Here is a 25,928-nt window from a genome sequence, read left to right on the forward strand (position 1 = left end):
CATTGTCTGTCAAATGGAATACAACAGCTTCTTCCCCAAACTGCCACAGTTCAGCCAGGGTGAGCTTTGACAATATCACTCCTCTGCTTGAGACACAGCTTATTCTACCACCTTACCATGGCCCTGCATGGTCTACCCCCTCCTCCAGACCCCCACCCTGTCTCACTCCACTCCCCCACTTTCCTGGAATGTGGTGACACATGCTGTCGGCCCCTTAGTGGTCCTTCTCTTTGGAACGCCCTTCCTCTAGACCTTCAGGGGCTGCCTCCTTCTCATGAAATCTCATGTTTATGCCCCATAACCTGTGCTTGGAATGCAAGCTCCTTGAGAACAAGGCCTCTGATTTGCTTCATACTCTTTATCCCCAGTACCTAGGATCAATGCATGGCACATGGTAAGAGCTTAATCAACATTTGCTGATTGACTCCTGAAATGAAAGAGCAAGCTGATAAGGATAAGGTCTGTAAGGGCTGGGAATTCTTCCTAGCATAATCATAATCATCTGTGGTCTCTTTAGAGTTTTTTTTTTTTAAGTTCTCAAACACAGCCCTCTCCATCAATCCTGCCTAACTTAACAACTGAGACTCGGCCGAGGTCAGAAAGGTAGTCCTATTTAACTTCTACCTCCACTGTCTTTACACCGAAAACCCTGTAAAATTGTCATTCAGCTACATTGTACCCAGGCTAATAAGTATAGAGCCTTCTCTCCCTGTATTCCTTACCTTACCCCCACCCCGCCACCCCCTGTCTTTCCCCTGGGGTATCAAGGGGAGACAAGCTGGCTTCGCATCAGACCTAGGAGAAGTGGGAAGGGCTTGCGCACTAACTTATCTCCCTATGGGGAGATGTAAAATTTGCCCATAAATAAAACATTTTATTATTTAGCTTGAACATTAAATTTCATCGGCATGCAGCGTGTGTTTTATTATCTGTGCCAGACACTAACATGTACTTAAAAATGAAATTCTGGAACGCTGCCCTGGCTTGCAGAATGCTAGTAAAGAAATTCTAATATGGTCTTGGAGAGATGCTCCAGACCTTGCCTTCCAAAATGGCACGGGCAATCAGCATTTTTACATTCATGTAGCACTTTGCAGTGGTGGTAAAGATGCTCTAATTGTGCCTCTAGCTGCTTCTATACTGCTGCTTCTAATCTATTGCAGGCTGGAAAATAACACACTGTAGCCAAAGATGTTGCAATTGTGTCCAAAGTAAGCATTAGTATACCCTAAATGAGTGTGGAGGGAATTATATGAGAAAGGTACAGAGAATTTGTGATAGCTGTTCTCCAATCCACCAGACTTTTTTTTTCTTCTTCTTCTTGTTATTTTTTACTTGCTGCTCCTTTGTTCTTGGCTGTGCTCCAGAGAAACTCTTCTCAAATGTTAATGTGCACATGGAGCACCTGGGGATCTTGTTAACATGAGTCTGATTCAATAGTCCTGGGGTGGAGCTTAGGTCTAATGAACTCTCAGGTGGTGCTGCTGGTCATCAGACCACCCTTTGAGTAGCCAGACTCTAGGACTGCAGCATTCAATAAGATGCCATCAACCGCATGTGGCTATTTAACTTAATTCAAATTAAACTAAATGTAAAGATGCAGTTCCTCGGTTGCACTAGCCATATTTCAAGTACTCAATTGCCACATGTGGCTGGTGGCTATTCTATTGATGGCTCAGAGATAGAACATTCCCATCCCATGCAGAAAGATATACAGGAGGCTGGGCGCAGTGGCTCACATCTGTAATCCCAGAGTTTTAGGAGGCTGAGGGGGGTGGATCACTTGAGGTCATGAGCTTGAGACCAGCTGGCCAACATGGTGAAACCCCGTCTCTACTAAAAATACAAAAATTAGCCAGACATGCTCGCTTGAACCCAGGAGGCAGAGGTTGCAGTGAGCTGTGGTAGTGCCACTGCACTCCAGCCTGGGTGACAGAGCGAGATTCTCTCTCTCAAAAAAAAAAAAAAAAAAAAAGTATATAGGACAGCGCTGCTGTACAGAATTGGAGCTGTTGGAAATATAATCCCCGAAGTGTGACAAGGTACTCTCGTCCCTGCTCCCCTGGAGGGGCTAAGTGCGAACAAAACTCCACTTGAAGCTGGTCGTGGTGGCTCATGCCTATAATCCCAGGACTTTGAGAGGCTGAGAAGACCAGCCAGGGCAACATAGCAAGACCCTGTGTCTATTAAAAAAAAAAAAAAAAAAAGCAATAGGCCGGGCACGTTGGCTCACACCTGTAATCCCAGCACTTTGGGAGGAAGAGGCGGGTGGATCACCTGAGGTCAGGAGTTTGAGACCAGCCTGACCAACATGGAGAAACCCCGTCTCTACTAAAAATACAAAATTAGCCAGGCGTGGTGGCACATGCCTGTAATCCCAGCTACTCGGGAGGCTGAGGCAAAAGAATCGCTTGAACCCGGGAGGCGGAGGTTGTGTTGAGCCAGGATCACGCCATTGCACTCCAGCCTGGGCAACAAGAGCGAAACTTCGTCTCAGAAAACAAAAACAAAAAAACTCCACTTGAGAGCAGATGCTTAAGTACGATGTAGCTTCACGTCCCGATGAAAGTCCGCAGCCTTACTTTGACGTTTTCCACTTCCTCCTGTCCAGACCCACCAACATGGGTACATCTTTGTCAGTAATGACCGCGGCCATCACTTCTGGGATGTGCAGACGACATGGAGGAACTGCCCCTTTGCTGCTTCTTTGTCCACTTCCTGGTAACTTGGTGCAGGGGGGACGTTTACAACCCAGACCCCACAGTCCCTTCCCCCTTCCCTCTGTACTTTAGTTAGAGGGTCTGGAATGTGGCTGGGGAGCTTTGCAGGAGAGTCCAGGGAACCCAAAGCCCTTTGTCTGCTGTTTCCACTTCTGTGGGCATCTTCATTACATGGGGAGATGGAGAGAAGGGAAATTACCGGAGAATTGAGTTGATTCTGCACACATTGGAGCAATAAAGAAATGAGACCCAGCTCCCTCCTCTCAAACTGATCCCAGCAGTTGCTGCAACAATTCACGGCAAAAAGTTCTCCAGCTGGGGAAGGAGGGAGGGCGGAGAGACATTTTCCAAGAATGCCTTTCATGTGGACTCAGAGCTGTCATTTTCCTGGCAATTCTGTGAACCGGGACCTGGGGCGATTTCCCAAAGTGCAGTTGGTGTGCATGTGGCCTGCTCTAGAAATCGCATAACCAAGAGGCACACTACTGGGGGGCCCGGGAAATGCCTGCCTCACCACCCTCAGAGTTCATGGCCCAGCAGGGCTGGAAGGCACCAGAGGACCAGCACAGCTCACTGTCTGGGTGGAGAACTTTTTGCCCCCAGCTAAACTGTGAGGGGCTGGCCTGGAGCTGAACCCAGGCAGCCTCCTTTCTTGGGCAAGGGCTCTGCTAATTCATATTGAAATAACTCTTCTGTCTGTAAATTTATACGCAAGGCTGATGCTGTCTGTCCCAAATAACCAGGTTAATCCTTCAACCAATTAGTAGACATGTAGGTGGCAACACAGATGGAAAGGATCCTGGGGTGTGAGTCAGAAGAACTGGAATCAGTCTGCCTCTGGCCCTTGCCACTGTGTGACTTTGAGCACGTCTCCTTTCTTCTCTAGGCCTCAGTTTACTTATCTGTAAAAGAAGGCTAATATCTATTTTTCAGAGTTGTTCAGCATTTGGTACACAGTACCAGGTGCTCAACAAATGCTGATGTAACCATTTCATACTTACTAGGTGCTGGGCCCTGGGCAAGGCAGTGGGGGAGATTGTGACACAGTTCCTGTCCTCATGAGGTTGACTATGTGGAGAGGGAGACAGATACTAATCAAAGATTCATATGAAAAAGTATAAAATAACTGTCACAGATGCATCAAAGAGGGTTACAAAATGTAACATGAATCTGTAATGGGGGAACTGACCTAGTCTGGGAGGCTGACTTCCCTGTGCATGTGATAATTGAGCTGAGAGCTCAGAAGTGATGGGGGTTAACTGGGCACAGCATGTGCAAAGGTCCTGTGGCACGAGAGTGCTTGGCAGTATACAAGGGACAGAAAGAGGATGGGTGTGGCAGGATGGCAGGCAGTCAGGAGACATATAGAGAAAAGAGAGACTGGAAAGGAAGTTGAGATAAAACTGTTCATAGGGGCCTAGCATTGTCCTAGATTGTGGAGAACAAACCAATTATAAACACCTCTGACCTCAGGGAGTTTACATTCTGCTGAAATGGGATGATAACTGTGAAGTGTCCTTTCAGTATTCTTTGGTATGTTGAATCTATTATTGTATCTTGGGCCGTGACCTGTAAGAAATTAAGATAGTGCCAAAGTTGTCCAGTTGGAATTTCTAAAACACTGACCTCTTGCACACAAACACATAGTTCATCTGGAGGGAACCAAAAGGGGATCAGACCCAGCTTCCCAAAGAGGTCCAGGGATGTTATGGGAGAATGAGTCTAGTCTGACCAGAAATGTCCCTTTTCTGCAAAAATGCCCTGCCCTCTCCACACTGACCACTGGCTCTTGAAAGAGAAGCTGGAATGTTCATGTGAATCACATCCATTTACCTTCTGACTCCACAAATGGTTTGCATTAGGAGACCATAGGGCTTTTCTGCCTTCATTCTTTCCAGATGAGGGTAGAGCCGCGGGCGTAATAGGCTGAATGAATGGGGTGATGGATGCCTCCAGTCAATCCCAGGAAGCCTTCTGCTGGAGTCAGTGAGAAGTGCCTCAACCTCACCCACTTAGAATGGCTCAGCCCAAGAACCAGAAACCCCTGAGCAGGAAAGGGGAAGCCATATTCACGGTAGTGGGTGTGCCTTTGTTCTTACCCTAGGTGCGGTGGCTCAATTTCCTGACCTGCTCCATGGAAGGTGACCTAATGGTGGTGACTGCGGGAGGAGCAGCAGCAATAGCAGGAGTGGTACTCAAGTTCTGGATGGCTATCATAATGGAAATAAATCTTAGTCCACACACTCTTCATTAACCTGTAAGTAAACTAAATGTCACTGGTGAGCCCCATTCCAGAAGGTGGTAGAAATGTAATCGTAGTCAATTTGGGATTCCGCTTCACTTTTACCTGGGATTGCATGTAAACTCTGGGAAGATTTATGGAGAGTTTAAGGGGGTTGGGGGTGGATGTTAGGAACCTGTTAAGAGAATAGATTCTGGAACCAGGCTGTCTGGGTTCAAATCCCAGCCATGCTTCTTGCTGGCCCTGGGACCTTAGGTAAGTCATTTATCCTCCTAATGGCTTCAATTTTCTCATCTGTAAAATGGGGAGAAAAATAGTGCCTCCTGTAATGGGTTGTTGTGAGGACTAACTGAGGTACTACAAGTGTAGTGCTGTGGAATGAATGCTACATGTAATAAATATTTGCTTCTCTTAATATGGGGGTTTGACATTGTTATCCTCCCCGAAGCCCAGTGGTCTGGCCTCTGGGTTCCCAGGACACAGGGTCCACATCCAGCCCATTCTTGAGCATACAGGACCATAAGACGGAGCCAGCATCAAGCAGGACCCAGAGCTTGGGGAATGCCCTCTAGGACACCAGTCAGCCTGGACAGCCCACAGTGACCCCTTCTGCTTGTGCACTTGACCTGGAAGGGCCCCGGCATCCACAGTGTCCTTCCAAAGGGACCCCACCATTTGCAGCCTTTATCTTCCTCTGCCTCCTCTCCTACCTCCCAATCATAATCTTGTTTCTTGCCTGGGACCTGAGAGCCCCATCCTCATTCATCCTCATCTCTCAGCCCCATAGATATCCCTGAGCCTTGGTGACTCCAAAGCCAAAATTACTTTGTTCTCGGAGCTCTGATGAGTCTTTGCTTCCCTTGAGTAACAAGCGAGGGATCCTTTGGCTGGTTGAATGAGGGAAGGAATAACTTCCCAGGCCAGGGGCAAAAGGAAATATTAGGGATTGGGAAGCAGGGCTCTGTTAAATTATCAAATGCTCTCTCCCCACACTGTCCTGTCACCTTACTGAGGATCAGCATAGGGCTAGTGCCCAGTGAGAGGAGTAGCAGCATTAGTGCCGGAGGCCTGCTGCTGCAGCATGGGTGACACTGTGCTATACCCTGCTATACTCCAAAGAGAGCTGCAAACTGAGTCCGAGGCAGGAGCTCCTGGAGAATCCCTGCAGTCGGTGCATCAGGAAGTAGGCTCTCAGACAACAGGCCCAGCCAATCACTGCCCCCAGGTGCACCAGGCACCCCAGGCACTCGGCCAGCTGCTAATGCTAGCATTGAAAGTGCTTCCTGCTAACCAGCCCAATCAAGCTATTTCTGATTACACAATGAAACTTACCCTGGCAAAAAGAGGACCAGTTTTATACATCCTTCTGGAGCCAGTTTCCATGGAGATCTACTTTTTTTTTTTTTTTGAGACAGAATTTTGCTCTTGTTGCCTAGGCTGAAGTGCAGTGATGCGATCTCAGTCAAGCGATTCTTCTGCCTCTGCCTCTCAAGTAGCTGGGATTACAGGCACCCGCCACCATGCCTGGCTAATTTATGTGTTTAGTAGAGGTGGGTTTCACCATTAGTCTGCTGGTCTCGAACTCCTGACCTCAGGTGATCCACCCGCCTTGGCCTCCCTAAGTGCTGGGATTACAGGCGTGCGCTGCCACACCCAGCAGATCTACTCTTCTTTATCCCAGCCATGCTTTCCACTTTGCTGGGCCTTGAACACACCAAGCTTGCAACAACCCCAGGGCTTTTGCACTCCCTGTCTCTTCTATCCAGAAGACAGCTCTTCCCCATATATCCACGTGGCTGCCTCTTTCATCTCCTTCAGGTTGTTGATCAATTGTCATCCTATCAGTGAGAACTTCCTGACATCTTGTTTCAATTTCTATTGTTTTATAGAGATGAGGGTCTCACTATGTTGCCCAGGCTGGCCTTGAACTCCTGAGCTCAAGCAATCCTCCCACCTTAGCCTCCCAAAGTCCTATGATTACAGGTGTGAATCACCAAGCCTGGCCCTGACATCCTGCTTAAATTGCTATCCTACTGCTACCCATTCTCCACTTCCATTATTTTTCTCCAAGGCATTTAGCACCTTCTGTCCTATTTATTATCTGGTTATTGCTTTTGTTTTCATACAGGGTCTTGCTCTGTCACCCAGGCTAGAATGCAGTGGTGTAATGACAGCTCACTGCATCCTCAACCTCCCGGGCTCAAGCAATCCTCCTGCCTCAGCTTCCCAAGTAGCTAGGACTACAGATGTGCGCCACCACACCTGGCTAATTTTTGTATTTTTTGTAGAGACAAGGCCTCACTATGTTGTCAAGGCTGGTCTCAAATTCCTCATCTCAGTGATCATCCCACCTTGGCCTCCCAATGTGCTAGGATTACAGGCATGAGCTGCTGTGCCCGGCCTGTCCTATTTGTTATTTTCTTCCTCCCAATTCCATGAGGGCGGGGACTTAGTCTTGTTCATTGAGGAAGGAAAGAAGGAAGGAAGGAAGGAAGAAAAGGGACTTCACAGGAGCTGTCTGCCTTTTCCCCATTGTATACACAAAGCAGTAAAGCCCAGAGAGTTTAAGTGACTTGGCCAAGACCATACAGCTATTCAGTAGAGGAGGATAATCTCTCCTGCTTAATTTCTAACGAACTTGTTCCCTGAGCACATCTTGCTTTTTCCAGCCCTTCCATGGGTTTTCTTACACATTGCCGTTATCTATAAGTACCTGCAATTCTCTCCTTTCCATCTCTAGTTGAAGGGATTCTATCCTCATTCTTACAGGCACAGCTACTCCAGGAAGCCGCCTTGGGTTCCCCAGTTGGGAGTGATCTTTGCCTCCTACACACTCCCAGTTCACTTTTTCTGCCTTATAAAGGCACTTAAAAGAGTCTGCCTCATATCTAGTTGTTTGTGTGCTAGGCTTGGTGCAACCCCAGGTTAAGGGCTACATTTTCCCAACTCAATATCCCCTGTTTGCACTAGCCCCAAGAAGGGAGTGGACATATATAATCAGAATCTCTTCAGCCTCAGTCCTCCCTCTTCCCTCAAAAAACATCCATTTATACCTGAGAGCTAAGAGACAAAGCAGGGCTCAATGACAGATTATTGACCCAATACATAAAAGAATAAATGGAGGCTGGGCCTGGTGGCTCACGCCTGTAATCCCAGTACTTTGGGAGACCAAAGTAGGCTGATCACTTGAGGTCAGAAGTTCGAGCCAGCCTGGCCAACATGATGAAACCTCATCTCCACTGAAAATACAGAAATTAGCTGGGCATAGTGGTGCACGCCTGAAGTCCCAGCTCCTCGGGAGGCTGAGACACAAGAATTGCTTGAACTCGAAAGGTGGAGGTTGCAGTGAGCCAAGATTGCATCACTGCACTCCAGCCTGGGTGACAGAGTGAGGTTCTGTCTCAAAAAAAAAAAAAAAAAAAAAAAAGAATAAATGGAGAGATGACTACCTCCTACCTGTCTCTACATTAATAAATGAAGAGCTGACTACCTCCTACCTGTCTCTACATTATTCATTCCTAAAGGGCAGGGTTAGTATGTGATACTTCTTTGAAGCTTCCCATAGTACCTGTTCTGGGTTGTAGGAGGTGTTCAGTCCCTCTTTATGGAAGGCATTAAGGAAGGAATGGTACAACAAGATGTCTAGATTCATTTCAAGTTTAATTCTGATAACGCGAACAAGTAGGAAAATAGTTGTTCCCTGAGAGCCCCGCCTTTTGCCCCACAGCCCCCACCCCAGTGAGAGGGTTAGGTCCAGGACAAATGCTCCGCCTCTGAGCCCAAGTGAGGCTGGCAGACCCACAGCAGGGACACCAGAGGATGAGACCGCGGCTCTAAAGGAGACTCCACCAGGGCCAACATTAACAAGGGGAAGATGGGAGGGGCAGTATGCAAACAGACCTTCTTGAGCCTCAGTCCTCCCACCTCCCTCCAAACAGTTCTAAACAATTCAAGCACCCGCTGACAGCTGAGATGGGAGAGGCAAACCCTGGATGGGGCTTCCAGCTTGGATTTCACATAATGAGGCTTTGGAATCCGGGAAGCGATTACAAGCCCACTGGGGAGGGACCACCTACAGGTTTTGGAACCTTTCACTGCTCTACCACATGTGGCTCAACATGTCCGACTCACCAGGAAGCAGCTCTTGGATGAGAAAGAGGAAAAACACAGACACCATAACAGCACGGTTTAGAAGTCAAGGGCTTAGGAATTCCGCGATGGAGACGGGATCACGGAAGCGTGGCCTAGGGTTGGAGGAACTATGTCCTTGTTTTCAGCATTCACCAAGAGCAGGGATTGAGGAGGGTCCAGAACCTACCCTAGCAACCCCACATGGTCACACAAGTCCCAGCCACCAGCCAGCATGTGTTTATTCAATTTTTTTTTCACTGACAAAAATTGTCAAAAATTGGACATGTTTATTGATTTTATTAGTAGCTATTTTCAAATCGTGGAGCTGGAAAGAACTTGGGTTTTACAACTGAGTGGTCTCATTTACAGATGACACCACCAAGGCAGAGAGAGGGAAGGTGGGTTCCCTGGGATCACACAGGCTGGGAGGGGTGCTCAACCAGGCCTAGGTTTCAGGTCCTCTCCCTGGTACCATCTGTTAGTCCACTCTGCTATTCTCACTCAAGTTAGAGCCAGGAAGGAACCAAACCAGCCTAGAATCCCATCCACTCATTTCTTTCTTTCTTTTCTTTTTCTTTTTTTTTGAGACAGAGTCTCACCCTGTTGCCCAGGCTAGAGCACAGTGGCGGGATCTCAGCTCAATGCAACCTCTGCCTCCCAGGTTCAAGCAGTTCTCCTGCTTCAGCCTCCTGAGTAGCTGGGACTGCAGGCATGCACCACCACACCTGGCTAATTTTTGCATTTTTAGTGGAGATGGGGTTTCGTCATGTTGGCCAGCCTGGTCTCGAACTCCCGACCTCAAGTGATCCACCTGCCTTGGCCCCTCAAACTGCTGGAATTACAGGTGTGAACTACTGTGCCCGGCCCAAATCACTCATTTATTGTCTGAAGAGCTGAGCCGTGTGAAGCCCAGCCCCTTGGAGGGTGCTGGGGTTGGATGGGGGTAACCAGTAAGACCCCTGCGTACTGGACACTGTGCTGGGTGCTTCACCACATCCTCTCACTTTCTCCCTGGACTGTCCCTAGGAGTGAGGTGATGGGGACTGTGTTCCTTATTTTACAGATGAGGCAACTGTGGCTCAGAGAGGTTAAATCACTTGCCCAGGGTCACACAGCTAGAAAGTGATGGAGTTGTGATTCAAACCCAGGCCAGTCTGATACCAAGCCTTTGGCCTTCCCGTGTGCTAGACTCCGGGAGGACGACCTAGAATAGTTGAAGCAAGAGCTGTCATATAGGTGAGAAAGAACTTTGGGAGCTATAGCAAGGAAGAGAAAGGAAATTGCATCTTTGAGGCCAAAGATTATTAGTCACAGAGGTATGGCTACCAGGCCCTCGAGCTGTCACTTACTTGCCACAAGCAGGGCCCTGAAAAGCCTGTTTTTTTCTGCTCTGACTTCAAACACAGATTCTCCAAGCAAGAAAGGCTAGCTTGTGAGACCAAGTTTCACAGAGATGGAGCTTGCAGGGAAAGGTCAGAGGAATTGTCCCCGGGTTCCTCAGAGGAGGCAGACGAGTTCGGAGTAGTTAGCAATAAACATATCAGCCCCGGCCCCTAGAGGGCACTGGCCAGAGGGAGCCTCAAGGGAGCAAGCAGGGCTGGGGCATGGAAGCCAGCCAGAGTCCAGCCTAGCTTTGGGCCGGGCCCAGAAACCAGTTCTGTTAAACAAAGCATTACACAACCATCTCATTAACTGCATCAATCCAGAAGGTCAAACTAACTCACTCCAGCGTCTGCGGGGCTCTGTTGGGGTGGGTGGGAGAGGACAGCCTCCTGAATTCCAGGCACTTGGGTCCACGTTGGTTTAATTAGCTCCATGATGTCCGCTTCCCTTGGGCACAGCCTTGCATGCCAGGGCCCTGACAGCTGCCTGGTGCCCCTAGAGGAGCCAGAAAAAGAGGGGGGTGCCTAGGGCAGGAGTGAACCCCTCACCCAGGCCAGCCAGGGCAGGAAGTCTGGGGTTGGCAGAGCAGTGATACAAAGACCAAGGCTGGAGATACCATGTTAGGGCTCAGGCTGAAAGGACCCGGAGAAGCTGTGGGTGAGAAAATGAGGCTGGCAAGTTTGCAGAGTGTGAAGCAAGCCAGGGCAACAGGTTCAAGACAGAGGCCAAAAGGAACACAAAGGTGTCATTGGCCAAGTTGGGGCATTGTCAGTTATAGATATGACAGACTGGAGGTACTCAGCAGGACTGAACTGTGGCAAGTGGTCAGGACTAGAGAACTCGAAGAAAGTCACAGAACTCAAGGAATAATAATAAAGGTAATGGAAAGGTCGGGAAACTAAAACAATTGTTCTCAAAGTGTAGTCCCTAGAGTAGCGGCATTAGTATCACCTGAGAACTTCTTAGAAATGCAAAATATTGGAATCTACCCTAGGCCTTCAAAATCAGACTGGGAAAGGCCCAGCAATCTGTGTTTTAATAAGACCTGAGGGTCATTCTGATGCAGGATGAAGCTTGAGAACCACTAGGCTACTCAGTGTGGTTGGTCCATGGACCAGCACCATCAGATGAAATGGCGCTGAGAGTTTGTTACAAATGCAGACTCTCAGGCCTGGCCCCAGACCTACTGAGTCTGCAGTTTAACAGGATCCCTGGGGCATCCCACGTACCTTTTAATTTGACAAGAGCTACACCTGAGCTCCACTGACCTGGGATTCTTTGGTCTGGGTGTGAATGAGTCTGTGTCTAAGTCCAGGGACAAATAGACACAGATGGCAATGGGGAAGTAGGCCACCCAGTTCCAGGCATAGGCAAAGGCTGTCCTCAGCTCTTCACGAATTTAGACTGCTGCCAGAAAATGTCACCAAGAAAAATAATGGCTTCACTGAGCCTGCAAATGTGCTCAACCTAGACATTGTGCAGAAAGCAGATTGCAAAGGCAACAAGACCAACAGCCCGACAGTGCTATTCGTATTCCATGGGAGACAGCTGGAGCCCCTGAGATGCAGGCGGGCTCCCAACCCTCTGTGATTGTGATGTGGAGATGATTTAAGAAGAAGCAGCCGAGGGTGGCTGTAAGCAAGTGACGCTCCTGAGAAGACAAAGCTGCAGAGATAGGAGGCTGGACCTGTCACCGCTGCCCAGAATGACCCAGGATTCTCATTCTTTCCAGGGAAACCAGTGGGCAACATTGACGACTGACAGGAGGGGACCTTGCCTCCAAGGCTCCAAGGCCGGATAAGAATGGCTTTACCTTCCTGACTCCAGAAAGAACCGCCCTTTTTCCCCACCTCCCTGATGGCTTCCTGGTGCTTGTGATTCTACCAGACTAGCTTTTCCTTTCCCCCTAATAATAGCTGCTAATTAATATTTAGCGAGGGTTTACCAAGCGCCGGGCTCTGAGCTAAGTACCTTGTATGTACTTTTTTCATTTAATCCTCTCAACAGTTCTACTAGGAAGGTACTACTATTTTCAGTATTTACTAATATTTGGGTATTTCTTAATTACTAAAAACATTTCTCATTCTACAGATGAAAATTGAGAGTAGAAGTTGGTCAGTAGCTTTCCGAAGTCAGCTAGATAGAAAGAAGGCATTGAAGTCTATGGCCATACCACCCTGAATGCGCCCAATCTCGTCTGAAAGAAGGCATTGAAGCAGAGCTCAGACATCCCAACCCCAGACTCTCCACCAAACCATTGTCTTTGTTCCTCATAGTGTGGTCCTTAGACCAGCAGTCGTAGAGTTATTTGGGAGCTTGTGATGCAAGAATCTCAGGCCCTGCCCAGACTTGCAAAATCAGACTCAGCATTTTAAACACAATCCCCCAGAGTTGGTATGCACATTACAGTTTGAGAAACGTGCCTGGTTATAAGAGCTTCCTTCCCTCGCAAGACGCAAATCCGTCTTGCATGAGGAACACAGCCGATACCAGACAGAGATACTTCAACAGGAATGAGTTTCAGCTCTTCTCTGGGAAGCAGGATGTTAGGAACCCAGCGGGGCCACCAGGCTGTTGAGGGACACGAGGAAGTGGAAGGGATGGCCTTTGTAATTGCCATCATCAGAAACGGGTTGGCCTAGAAATCTGTATCCCAAGGTGAAGCAATGTCTTTTTTTCTGCATGCTTTTTTCCTGCATGTTGCAGAGTTGGGAGAACAGACTGCCTGTGTAGACCCCAGTGAGAAACAGCTGCAAAGAGGCATTTCTGGGTTTTACTTCCCCTGGGCCTCTGCATCCTCACCTAGGTGGGTGAGAGCAGTGAATCTACCTGCTTACCTCACAGGTGTGCCTTGAGCACTGTCAAGAGTGGGAAAGGCTTTGCAAAGTTCAGAGCAGGATCCAGGTCTAGGGTGCAATCCTTATTGCTAGGTGGGTCAGTCATTTGATCTCCCTTTTGCCCAGCAAAGCCACTTCATAAAACCCCTTGCTGGAAGGCCAGATCCAGGTCCCTCTGCTTCCATGCATGCCTGCCTGCCTGCCTCCCACTGCCACTCCCCTGCTGCTCCACATGCTAGCCTGGGTGCATTCAGGGGCCCACTGTCTTGTTTTCTGATGCCAGTGCTAGAAAAGTTCTGCTCTTTCTAAAGGAACATGGTACTTTCAAGGCCTTTGAGAACCATGCCGTATGTCATTCATGGTCACTGAATCACAGACAGGATTCCAAATGGGCCTGAGAGATCAGAGTCTTGTCTGCACGCAGTGGCTCATGCCTATAATCTCAAGCACTTTGGGAGGCTGAAGCAGGAGGATCACTGGAGGCCAGGAGTTCAAGACCCACAACACAGCGAGACCCCATCTGTACAAATAATAATAATAATAATTTTTAAAAAAGAGTTCGGCCTCAGGATATAAGTCCCAGCTCTTCTGTTTATTAGCCATGTGATCCTGGGTGAGTTTCTTAACCTCCCTGCAACTCAGTTTTCTCATTTGCAATGTGGGGATAATAACAGTCCCTAATTTTCAGGATTACTGGAAATACTGAATAAAAAACTAAATAAATACTAATTTATTAAACACTTAGTGCCTGCATTTAGTTGACACTCCAGATTGATAGCTATTACTAAACCATATTTGAGGCTGGGCGTGGTGGCTCATGCCTGTAATCCTAGCACCTTGGGAGGCTGAGGCAGGCAGATCACCTGAGGTCAGGAGTTTGAGACCAGCCTGGCCAACATGGAGAAACCCCATCTTTACTAAAAATACAAAAATTAGCCAGGTATGGTGGCATGTGCCTGTAGTCCCAGCTACTCAGAAGGCTGAGGCAGGAGAATCACTTGAACCCAGGAGGTGGAGGTTGCAGTGAGCCAAGATCCCGCCACTGCACTCCAGCCTGGGTGACAGAGTGAGACTCCATCTCAAAAAAAAAAAAAAAAAAAAACCATATTTGAAAGATTCTAAGATACAGCCATTGTGAGACACAGCCCTGATTTCAGAGATGTTAAAATGGTATAATTCACCCAATAGCAAAAGGGTTCCAAAGCCAAAGATGTTAGGGAGACACCTTTTCTGCAAGATGTTTCAGAGCTTTTAAATGCTGCGTTTCAATGTGAGCTCATGGTAGTTACCGCATTCGGTAAGAACTCAGACTGAGTAGACAACGGAACCCCTTTTCTATGAAATAGCTTGGGAGTTCTGTGACATTGGCTTGGGGAGTGCTAATCTAGTCCAATGCTCTAATTTCATAGATGGGGAAACTGAGGCCAGAGAGAGGAGGAGACTTCCTGAAGTTACTTAGGTGGTTAAGTGGTGAAGACTAGGCTACTGAAGAGCCAAACTGGAGCTCCCTCCACTAAACCGCCTTTCCTCCCAACTAACCTGTTACCTACGACACTTGATAGTTTCCTTCTTTTTTTTTTTTTTTTTTTTTTTTTGAGACAGAATTTAGCTCTTGTTGCCCAGGCTGGAGTGCAATGATGTGATCTCAGCTCACCGCAACCTCCGCCTCCCAGGTTCAAGTGATTCTCCTGCCTTAGCCTCCCGAGTAGCTGGGATTACAGGCAAGCACCACCATGCCCAGATAATTTTGTATTTTTAGTAGAGACAGGGTTTCTCCATGTTGGTCAGGCTGGTCTCGAACTCCCGACCTCAGGTGATCCGCCCGCCTCAGCCTCCCAAAGTGCTGGGATTACAGGCGTGAGCCACCGCGCCTGGCCTGACATTTGGTAGTTTCCAAAGACCTTCCTGCTGTGTGCTGTTCCTCACACTAACCCCTGCAGATCCCAGGGGAAGGGATTGTCCCCACTGTACAGATGCAGTTGCCAGCCCACTGAGCAATGGGTTACAAGTGGGACCCAGGTCTGATTCCTGGGCTTACTGCTGTGTTTTTGTAACACCCTAAAGACTGTGACTTGGAGGGGAGGAGGTGCATGACTGGGAGCCAGCAGGTGAGCCAGAAGGGCCCAAAAGACCTGGGTCAAGAGGTGGTCCCAGTACAGAAAAGGACTAAAACCGGCAGAGCTCACCTCCTGAAGCAGTCTTGCTAGGTCAACCCCAGCTTCTTCCATGATGGGCAGAGATGCAGACCACCACGATCTACCCTACCAATACTTGATCATGCATCGGGATAGGGGCAAGGCTCTCATTTCACACCTGCCCACATGCAGAGCCTCATGGACGGGAGGGCAGACCTCCAGATTCAATGTTATTGCACCACTGAGGAACATCTACGGGGACCTGCTGTGCAAACTTCAGACCACATTGATGAAATCCACTGGGAAGTCCTTTCATCACAGCAGTTAATTTGATGACTGCTTTGTTTTAAGAGCAGTTTTTGTTTCACTGGCTAAAGTGACTTACTATGAGGGGTTGTTAAGCAATTCATCAACTTTTAAATCTCGATATGTTTGTGGTCAAACATGACTGTTCTCACAGACCGAGCGACGCTCAGCCTTTTCCCCTCTGAGACGCACATGATGGACGATGTTTGTTCACATGCTTGACCCACCCCCAGTAAGAATAGACTCATTTGGATTCACACAAATTTCTTAAAATGGCAATATCAAGTGTTGGTAAGAGTGTAGAAAAGGCTAACTTTTATGCCTTGTTGGTGGGAGTGTAAACGGATATAGACCCAGTAGAGAACAACTTGGCAGCATCTCACAAAATGGAACATTTAATTTCAATTACATTCTCTATAAGCCTGCAATTCCATATACCCAAGAGAAGTTCAGTGTGCGCACAAGCAAACACATCCAAGGATGTTCACTGCAGATGTTGGTAGGTATGCAAAACTGGAAACAACTCAGATGTCTGCCAATAAGAGAATGGCAAGGTAAAATATGGCATAATTATACAATGGAATATTTCACAGCAATTAAAAGGAATGAATTAAAGCTGTATGTGTTATTATGGATAGATCTCAAAATATACTGTTGAGTGAAAACAGAATTGTATCATGCAAAATTAAAATTTTATTTATGGCTGGGCGCAGTCGCTCACGCCTATAATCCCAGCACTTTGGGAGGCCGAGATGGGTGGATCACCTGAGGTCAGGAGTTCGAGACCAGCCCGGCCAACATGGTGAAACCTCATTTCTACTAAAAATACAAAAATTAGCTGGGCATGGTGGTGGGCGCCTGTAATTCCAGCTACGTGGGAGGCTGAGGCAGGAGAATTGCTTAAACCCGGGAGGCAGAGGTTACGGTAAGCTGAGATTGTGCCACTGCACTCCAGCCTGGGCGACAGAATGAGACTCTGTCTCAAAAAAAAAAATGTATTTATATGTTTTCAAACAAAAATCAGTTCTATGTATTTATCATTGATGAATATAAACGTATAAAGGTGAAAGCATGAAACACACTTTCATGTACTATATTATATATCATGTACATATAAAAGGATATGTACTACATTCATGATAGTGATTGTCCCTGAGAAGGGAACAAAGAGGAGTGGGGCTGAGGTAGGAGGATTGCTTGAGCCCAGGAAGTGGAGGTTGCCATGAGCTGAGACCACGCCATTGCACTCCAGCCTGGGCGAGAGAGTGAGACCCTGTCTCAAAGCAAAAAAAAAAAAAAAAAAAAAAAAGGAGTGGGATGGGTCTGAAGGACAAAGGAGACTTATTTAATACTTTCTCTGTGAGGTTGTTGTCATGTCAGACACGGCTGATGCATCTCCCAGACTCTCTTGGCCTCACTTATCTCCTGAACCCTTGGCCGCTGGCTCTGCCTCAGCCACTACCACAGCAGCTAGCTCTCTGCAGGTCTACATGGCTCCACCAGAGGCTGACCAGCCACATGACCAGAGTCTTGGGTTCTTCTCATAATTTCTAGACTTGAATGAAACACTCTGCATCAAGGCCTGGGATCTGGCTTCCCCGGTGGCTGCCCAGAGGGGCCAGGTATAATGCAGTGGTTCTCAACTGGAGTGATTTCTCCCCACAGGGGACATTTGGCAGTGTCTAGAGATATTTTTGGTTGCTACTCCTGGGTAACAGGTGCTACGGGCATCTAGTGGATACGGGTCAGGGAAGCTGCTAAACACCCTACGATGCACAGAACAGCCCCTTCAACAGAGATTCATTCATCTGGCCCAAAATGTCAGTAGTGCTGAGATTGAGAAATCCTGCTGCAGTAGTTAAGAACAAGACTCTGGAAACAAACAGGCAAGTTACTTCACCTCTCTGCTTCAGCTTCCTCATCTGTAAAGTGAGTATAATAATTATGTTTACCTAATACAACTGTTGTGAGAATTAAATGTGTTACTAATTTATGTAAAGCATTTATGTCCGTGAATGGCACTTAGAGAATGTTATGTAAATGTAATAGTGATAACAGTAGTAGCAACTTGGCTGTGAAGAACAGTAGAAATGAATACTCTAATTTTTGAAGTAAGCAATTTACAAACTTTACAGCTTTAATTAGGCTGGGCATGATGACTCATGCCTGTAAACCCAACACTTTGGGAGGCCAAGGTGGGCAGATCACTTGAGGTCAGGAGTTTAAGACCAGCCTGGCCAACATGGCAAAATCCTATCTCTATCAAAAATACAAAAATTAGCTGGGTGTGGTAGTGCGTGCCTATAATCCCAGCTGCTCGGGAGGCTGAGGCACGAGAATCACATGAACCCAGGAGGCAGAGGTTGCAGTGACTGGGTGACAGAGCAATACTCTATCTCAAAAAAAAAAAAAAAAAAGCTTTAATTATTGTTAGTTACCAATGTCTCACTACATTTCATCACCGATTGTAACACATCAGTAGTATCATGTTTTATTATTCTAAAACACACACTTTGGGCTGGGCATGGTGGCTCACGCCTGTAATCCCAGCACTTTGGGAGGCTGAGGCGGAAGGATCACTTGAGGTCAGGAGTTCGAGACCAGCCTTGCCAATATGGTGAAACCCCACCTCTACTAAAAATACAAAAATTAGTTGGGCATGGCAGTACGCACCTGTAATCCCAGCTACACGAGTGGCTGAGGCAGGAGAATCGCTTGAACCTGGGAGGCAGAGGTTGCGGTGGGCAGAGATCGTGCCACTGCATTCCAGCCTGGGCAACAGAACAAGACTTGGTCTCAAAAATAAATAAATAAATAAATAAATAAATAAATAAATAAATAAATAACGCACACTTTGACACTTTCACATTTTGACATCTGTGAACGCAGGATGCATCTTACAACCATGGTTAGCATGTGACCATCAGATATAGCTGTCACACATATATAAACCTTGGGGAGGCTGGGTGATTTGTGAGGAAATCCTGGGGACAGTAGGAAAGATCCCTTGTAAGAAATGGTGCATCACTCACACTGTTGATGGCTTGGAAGATGATACCGATGGCGGTGGCGGGTCGTCAGGAGCAGCCACTGCCATCATGCCAGCCACTGCAGGGAGGGTATGGGGAGGAGGCAGACAGCCACCCCCACCAACCCCCACCACCACTGCAGCCTGCTGCCCTGGTGGGTGATGGGGCCAGGTCGAGTCACCAGCTGGTGGGGGAGCAGCGCCGTCTGGCAGAGAGAGCCTGGACGCGGAGCTGGGCCCGGGGTGGCGCTGCACTTGTACAAGGAATGCAGGAACTGGGGAGGGAGCACAGAGCTGGGGCCCCGTTTTGCCACCACAGCCCCGCCGGGGCTGGAAGTGGGAGCGGCGCTGCCACCCTGGGGTCAGGGTGACCGCTGAGCCTGACACTCCTGACGGCCCGGCCGCCCCTGAGCACCCGGGGAACATCGGGGAGCTTGTGGTGATGTAACCTCTGCCCTGGATGCTCACCCGGGGCCCAGAGAGGACGTGGAGCCCCTCCCTCAGGCTGTGAGGGGATACCGCCGGGGCTGCATGCTCCACAGAGCCAGGAGGAGCGGGCAACAGGCAGCAGCCCAGCCCTCCTGGGTGCAGCTGCAGCCGCCCAAGTTGGGTTTGTGGACCCAGACTTCCGTGTGCTCTTGGGGGCCTGGGAAGGCCCTGCACTGCCCTTGCAGGCTCGGAAGTGCCTCTTTCCACTGCCTGGTCTCTCCCCACTGCTGGCACCTGCTCCAACCCCAGAGTGGGGTTGGGACTGAGCCCAGGCAGGGTGTGCACATGCTTGCGCCCTGCTGCCTTTTTCCCCTCTGGACTTTGGACAATGAGGGGTCGGGGAGTGAGGGGCTGAGGGTGGCTTGGTGCTGGCCTGCAGGTGCCCATTGGTACAAGCAGCCTGGGTGCCTTGGTCAGCACAGCAGGCAGATGGGCTCCTGGGTGGAGGGGGGCAGGTCCCTGGTGAGGCTCCACTTTCAGGCCAAGGAAGGTCTGAAGGCTGGGGACTGGGCTGCCAATCCTATGGACCAGAGTGGAGACTTGTGTCTTTTCTGGCCCGCCTGTGTCTGCCCACGGACCAATTGGTGCTCACTTCCTTCCCTCTGAGGCCCATAAAAGCCGTGGGCTCAGCCGGAGCAGAGCAGAGCTGAGGACACAGGGATGACTGGACTACCAGCTGGAGAGAGGAGCTACCCTCTCTGCTAGGGGCCGAACACTCCTCCGGACACCCTGGCTACAGTGCAGGTTCTTCTCTGAGTTGTTCTCTTGCTCAATAAAACTCCCCCTCATCTTGCTCACCCTCCACTTGTCTGACTACATCATTCTTCTTGGTTGCAGGACAAGAACTTAGGACTGCAGGACAAGAACTCGAGACCCACACAATGGTGAGGCTAAAAGAGCTGCTGTAACACAAACAGGCCTGAAACATACCCCTTGCTTGCCACGTTGTGGGCAAAGAGCTGTGGCCCTTCAGGGAGTCCAGACCTGGTCCGTCAGCCAGGGCTGTGACTCCCTCCTTGAGGCCCTGTGGTTCCTGGCATCTCCAAACTTCCGGGTGCTGCCACATTCCCTGGTGCCAGCTGGGGAAGATGCTTGCTTGCAGTGCACCTGGTCCAGCTGCAGCTTCACAGAGAGCTGGCACCCATGCCAGCAACTGGAGCTGTCTGTCTCATGGCAACCAGTGTGTCTGACTGCGTGGTGGCCAGACCCCACACTCGCTCAGCTTGCTCACGTACCCCTGACCACTCCACGCCTGACTCCAGTCTCTCTTGGAGGTGTGAGATCCAGGCCAGTAGTGTGAGCTGAGTGCAACCTGCCAGCAACCAACCTGAGTGGGTGGAACGAGCCCAGCAGCCCAAGCAAAACTTGGGCAAAGGCACCATCGGCCACGGCTCTCTGGCCAGAAAAGTGTCCATAACAATACTATGTGGCAAATATGATCACCAGTGATGCTAAATCAAAAAGTGATTCAGTTTGCATCCATTTAAGTACAGAAAAAGAAAAAAAAAATTTTAATTTAAATTGATTCAAAAGAGTTGCACCCTTCTGAAGTGAATTTATTCTGCTTACATTTTCCCTTTTATATATGTATAAAAGTGACATTATTAAATATCAACTTGTAAAGTCAGAGCTTTTTCATAGATATCTTTCTTATTTGAAGAAAGATAGTATCTATCTGTTTTAGATAAGAAAGGCTTGTGCAATAGTTTAATTGAGAATGTTTCTTTTTTTTAATGGTATGTAAAACAATGGTACCTTGCTATGTTTTACAGAGTCCTAATCAGTTGGCACACATTATCTCATTTCATCCTCTCAACAGCCCTATAGTGTATGTGCTGTTATTGTTCATTCATACTTTGATAATGAACAAACTGCGACTCAGAGAAGTAGAGTAACTTGCCCAAAGTCAACAGCTGGTAAGCGGAGCTGGGACTCAAACCCAGTTTATTTGAACTTCAAAGCCTTGGTGCTCAGCCTTTTCATCCTGGTTGAGAACTAGAGTCAAAGCTGTATCCTTTTTCCAGGCCCTGGCAATCTAGGGCATGGATAGTAATGACAAAAGACAGCTGGGACAATAGTCAGCAATGTATGGACTGGCCTTTCCTCAGCACTGCCTTCCTCATTTCTCAGCACCACCAGGCTCGACCCAGCACAGCTCATCCACCCACCCCAATGACAGAATGCAGCCAGAACTGTGGTCAATATGGAGTGGCACCTTTGAGAGAGGTGAGCTTCTCTGAGCTTCCCTGGGGAAATATAGTTCATGTACTAGGACAGCCGAGAGGGGCTTGAAAGGATGGAGACGTTTTATAAACTGTGGGTAAAAATTCCCATGTGTTCCCAGGATGAACCACACCTTTGGAATTGTTCCAAAGAACAATTAGAGAGTATAGTTCTGTAGAGAGTACAGTTCTTTAGAGAGTATAGTTCTGTCCCTACAGATTCCGGCAAATGGTGGGGCAAAACACAGAGTCATTTTAACCAAACATCCAAAGGCAAAGTATTCAACAGCATCATCAGTGTGCAAGTAATAACAGTCCAATTAAATTAGGAAGCCCAGCAGATGTATCCTATTAGCGTCATCAAGACTTAAATCCTACTGCTCCTCTCCAGCAGTGTAGGCCTTCTCAAGTCTCCCTGCACATGGGTAGGTGGGTAAAGCTTGGCTGATCGGCAGGGGGATGAGGAGATGGTGAACATCACGTTGGGAATCAACAGACCTGTGTTCACATGTTAAAACTTGTGTGACCTTGCGTAAGTCATGTGATTGTCTATGCCTCATTTCCCCTTCTTTAAAATGTGTGTCTTGTGTTTCTAAAACTAAATGGGAGCTCTCCTTTACTTGCTCCCTTAACCCTGTGAAATCTGGTTTTCATTCTCATCATCTTTCAGGGCCTCTGAGCAAGTTCCTGTGCCTGTTTCTTTCAACGAGGATAACTACTTCCACCTGCCTTTGTAATTTGTTCCTGGGACAAAGAAAGCCTCTTGAGGAGGCTGGCCTGCCCTGCATATGTTGGATAAACGCTTGAAATATGGACCTGTCCCCATCTCTCGCCTTTCCCCGGAATTCAGGACTGAATGGATGCTGCCTGCATTTTGGGGAGTGGGAGTTTTGCTTTTCCTTTGCTTTGCTACTTACTCACTCTGATGAACAAGGAGGAGACTGACAGCTTCACAGTCCTGGATCATTTCCTGCCCTGTTCTCCCATCCAGCTCATGGAAGTCAGCAACTCCATCCACTCATTGCACAGAGACCAGAAAGGGGAAGGGATTTTCTCACTGTCTCACAGCAACTAATGGCCAAGCTGTGGTGGGCGTCTTGGTGGTCTGATTCCAATTCAAGTTGGAGTGAGAGAGTGAGAAGATTATGGGCTGTGGCCTCAAGCCAACCAGGGTCTAAACCCAGCATTGCCTCTGGCTTACTTGTGTCTCCTCTGCTTCCTCATTCTTAGAATGGAAATCATCATCATCATCTCATAGAAGTGTTATGGGCAACAGACAGGATAATGTACATGAAGCTCATACAGCCTTAGGATTAAAACCAGTGAAGACCCAAACGACTGTACCTGGGAATTTAAGATAAACAGGGTGTGTTACTGCCTGGCACAAACTGGGAATTTGTGCAAAGGTAAGATACCAAGCAGGACAGTATTTCTCCTTGAGGGACCGTGAAATCTTCTCATCATTTAAGCTTATGAAACGAGGTGGAGCCTCATTTCTTAAAGGGGGAAATGCAAATCAAAACTACCTGGGTATCATATGAAATTATACCTTGATAAAGCTGATTTTTAAAACATTACCCTGAGAATTGTAAAGATCAACAGTCCTGATAACAAGCCAGGCATCGTGGCTCATGCCTGTAGTTCCAACTACTTGAGAGGCTGAGGTGGGAGGATTGCTGGAGCCCAGGAGTTTGAGGCCAGCCTGGGCAGCATAGCAAGACCCTCTTAAAAAAATAAAATCCTGGCCAGGCGCGGTGGCTCATGCCTGTAATCCCAGCACTTTGGGAGGCCGAGGTGGGCAGATCACGAGGTCAGGAGATCGAGACAATCCTGGCTAACACGGTGAAATCCCGTCTCTACTAAAAATACAAAAAATTAGCCGGGCATAGTGGCAGGCACCTGTAGTCCCAGCTACTCGGGAGGCCGAGGCAGGAGAATGGTGTGAACCCAGGAGGCGGAGCTTGCAGTGAGCCAAAATCGCGCCACTGCACTCCAGCCTGGGTGACAGAGCGAGACTCCGTCTCAAAAAAAAAAAAAAAATCCTGGCCAGTGGCTCACACCTGTAATCCCAGCACTTTGGGAGGCCAAGGCAGGAGGATCACTTGAGGCCAGGAGTTCGAGACTAGTCTGGGTAACATAGTAAGACCCCCTTCTCTACAAAAAAAAAAAAATAATAATAAATTAGCAGCCGGGCACAGTGGCTTACACCTGTAATCCCAGCACTTTGGGAGGTCGAGGCAGGTGGATCACGAGGTCAGGAGATGGAGACCATCATGGCTAACACGGTGAAAGCCCGTCTCTACTAAAAATACAAAAAATTAGCCGGGTGTGGTGGCGGGTGCCTGTAGTTCCAGCTACTCGGGAGGCTGAGGCGGGAGAACGGCGTGAACCCGAGAGGCGGAGCTTGCAGTGAGCCGAGATCGCGCCACTGCACTCCATCCTGACTCCAGCGAGACTCTGTCTCAAAAAAAAAAAAAAAAAAATCTGCCAGCCACGGTGGTGTGTGCCTGTTTTCCCAGCTACTTGGGAGGCTAAGGCAGGAGGATTACCTGAGCCCAGGTGGTCGAGGCTACAGTGAGCTATGATCCCACTCCAGCCTGGGTGACAGAGTAAGACCTCATCTCAAAAAAAAAAGAAAAATAATCCTGATAACAGATGGTTATCAAAGGGCATAGGGAAGCGGAGGTATCCAGTGGTGCAAGCTCTGTGGAAAGCAATTTGGCAAGATTCATCAAAATTAGTAACATACATGCCAGTGGGTCCAGCACCGCGGTATTGCACCAGTGGTAGACAGCTGTGGACTGCTGGCCCTCAGGTGCGGCGACCACACCAAATTCAATCAGCTGTGGCCAGGAGCATGGGGCAGGGGCAATTTCACTTAAAACAGGATAGGATTAGCCAGTCTTGGTGGCATGTGCCTGTAGTCCCAGCTACTCGGGAGGCTGAGATGGGAAGGATCACTTGAGTCTGGGAGGCAGAGGTTGCAGTGAGCGGAGACTGTGCCACTGCACTCCAGCTGGGGCGACAGAGTGAGACTCCATCTCAAAAACAAAATAAAATAAAAGGTATAAATGACATCCAATAAACTTCACATATTTAAGCTGTAGTATAAGTCTTGTGTTTCATGTAATCCCATGAAACCATCATCAGAGTCACAATAATGAACTTATCTATCACCTTTACATTTACCTGGAGCCTTTTATAAAGTCTTTCTCTCTGCCTTCCAGATAACCACTGATTTACTTTGCTGTACAATAGAGTAATTTCCACTTTCTGGAATTTTTGGACTGATGTAATAAAGTGTTTCCTCTTATAATCCCTGGGTGCTCTGTCATCATGCTTATTTTGATATTATCAGTGTAGACATATGAATTGTTCATTCTTTTTACATTGCTGATAAATACACTCTGCTGTAAAATGTCATTGTATATTCATTCATCTGTTTATGGATATTTGAGTGGCTTCCTGCTTTTGTTTTGTAAATCAAACAGCTACAGATGAAAAAACAAAACGAAACAGGATAGGGTATAATGAGGTAATGTGAAGACTTTTTAGTACCTTGAGGGGAAATAGTCTGTGCCCCTAGAGTTGAGGAGGGGCTGGAGGTGCAGGTTGGGGTGGAGCAGTGCCTGGTGGCCGCGGTACTGGCTTTTAGCCAACAGACCTGTACATTCATCATACCTCTGCTACCTACTAGCTAAGACAAGTCACTTTGCTTCTTTTCTCCATCTGTAGAGGCAGATGATATTCCCTGCCAGGAAGGGTTGATGTGAGGATTAAATGAAATCCACACGTGGCCCCTGGCTCAGTGTCTCATGCATGACCGGTGAGCAGCCATTTATCCATTCATCTGATTATTGTTCTTCCCATCTGCTATGCTAATGTTTTATTGCTCCAAAATTCTGATGTTGAAACCTAATCACTAATGTGGTGATATAGAAGGATTATAAGTGGGACTTGTGCCCTTATAAAGAGGCCCCAGAGAGTTGCCTTGTCCCTGTCATTCATGTGAGGACACAGTGAGAAGTCGCCATCCATGAACCAGAGGATGAGCTCTCACTAGACACTGAATATGCCAACGCCTTCATGTTGGGCTTCCCAATCTCCAGAGCGGAGAGAAATACATTTCTGGCCAGGCAAGGTGGCTCATGCCTGTAATCCCAGCACTTCGGGAGGCTGAGGTAGGGAGAATGCTTGAGTTCAGGAGTTCAAGACCAGCCCGGGCATCATAGTGAGACTCCATCTCTATTAAAGACACACACACACAAATTAGCCAGATGTGGTGGCTTGGGCCTGTGGTCCTAGCTAATCAGGAGGCTGAGGTGGGAGGTTTGCTTGGGCCAGGGAGGCAGAGGTTGCTGTGAGCTGAGATCACATCACTGCATTCCAGCCTGGGCAACAGAGCAAGATCCTGTCTCAAAAAAAAAAAAAAAAT

General features: G+C 48.1%; 1 long non-coding RNA gene across 1 annotated transcript, besides 3 other annotated features; it reads left to right on the forward strand.

Moving 5' to 3' along the window:
* Window positions 1,211-1,712: an enhancer, noted in NCBI's record as "NANOG hESC enhancer chr15:78679989-78680490 (GRCh37/hg19 assembly coordinates)". NCBI's record gives its function as "activates a minimal SCP1, AML or CMV promoter by ChIP-STARR-seq in primed H9 embryonic stem cells {active_cell/tissue: H9 hESC(primed)}" and the evidence as "EXISTENCE:reporter gene assay evidence [ECO:0000049][PMID:30033119]".
* Window positions 4,192-5,391: an enhancer, noted in NCBI's record as "BRD4-independent group 4 enhancer chr15:78682970-78684169 (GRCh37/hg19 assembly coordinates)". NCBI's record gives its function as "activates an origin of replication core promoter dependent on BRD2, P300/CBP, MED14 and CDK7 cofactors, and independent of BRD4, by STARR-seq in HCT116 cells {active_cell/tissue: HCT116}" and the evidence as "EXISTENCE:reporter gene assay evidence [ECO:0000049][PMID:35650434]".
* Window positions 9,141-9,641: an enhancer, noted in NCBI's record as "NANOG-H3K27ac hESC enhancer chr15:78687919-78688419 (GRCh37/hg19 assembly coordinates)". NCBI's record gives its function as "activates a minimal SCP1, AML or CMV promoter by ChIP-STARR-seq in primed H9 embryonic stem cells {active_cell/tissue: H9 hESC(primed)}" and the evidence as "EXISTENCE:reporter gene assay evidence [ECO:0000049][PMID:30033119]".
* Window positions 19,914-24,916, forward strand: LOC105370912 (uncharacterized). Its single transcript, XR_932506.3, has 4 exons — window positions 19,914-20,015; window positions 20,109-20,155; window positions 21,402-21,497; window positions 22,164-24,916. It is a non-coding gene; the product is annotated as an uncharacterized LOC105370912 (long non-coding RNA).
* Window positions 24,917-25,928: the final 1,012 nt, after the last annotated feature.

The sequence above is a fragment of the Homo sapiens genome, chromosome 15 (assembly GCF_000001405.40).
Source record: "Homo sapiens chromosome 15, GRCh38.p14 Primary Assembly".
NCBI lineage: Eukaryota > Metazoa > Chordata > Mammalia > Primates > Hominidae > Homo > Homo sapiens.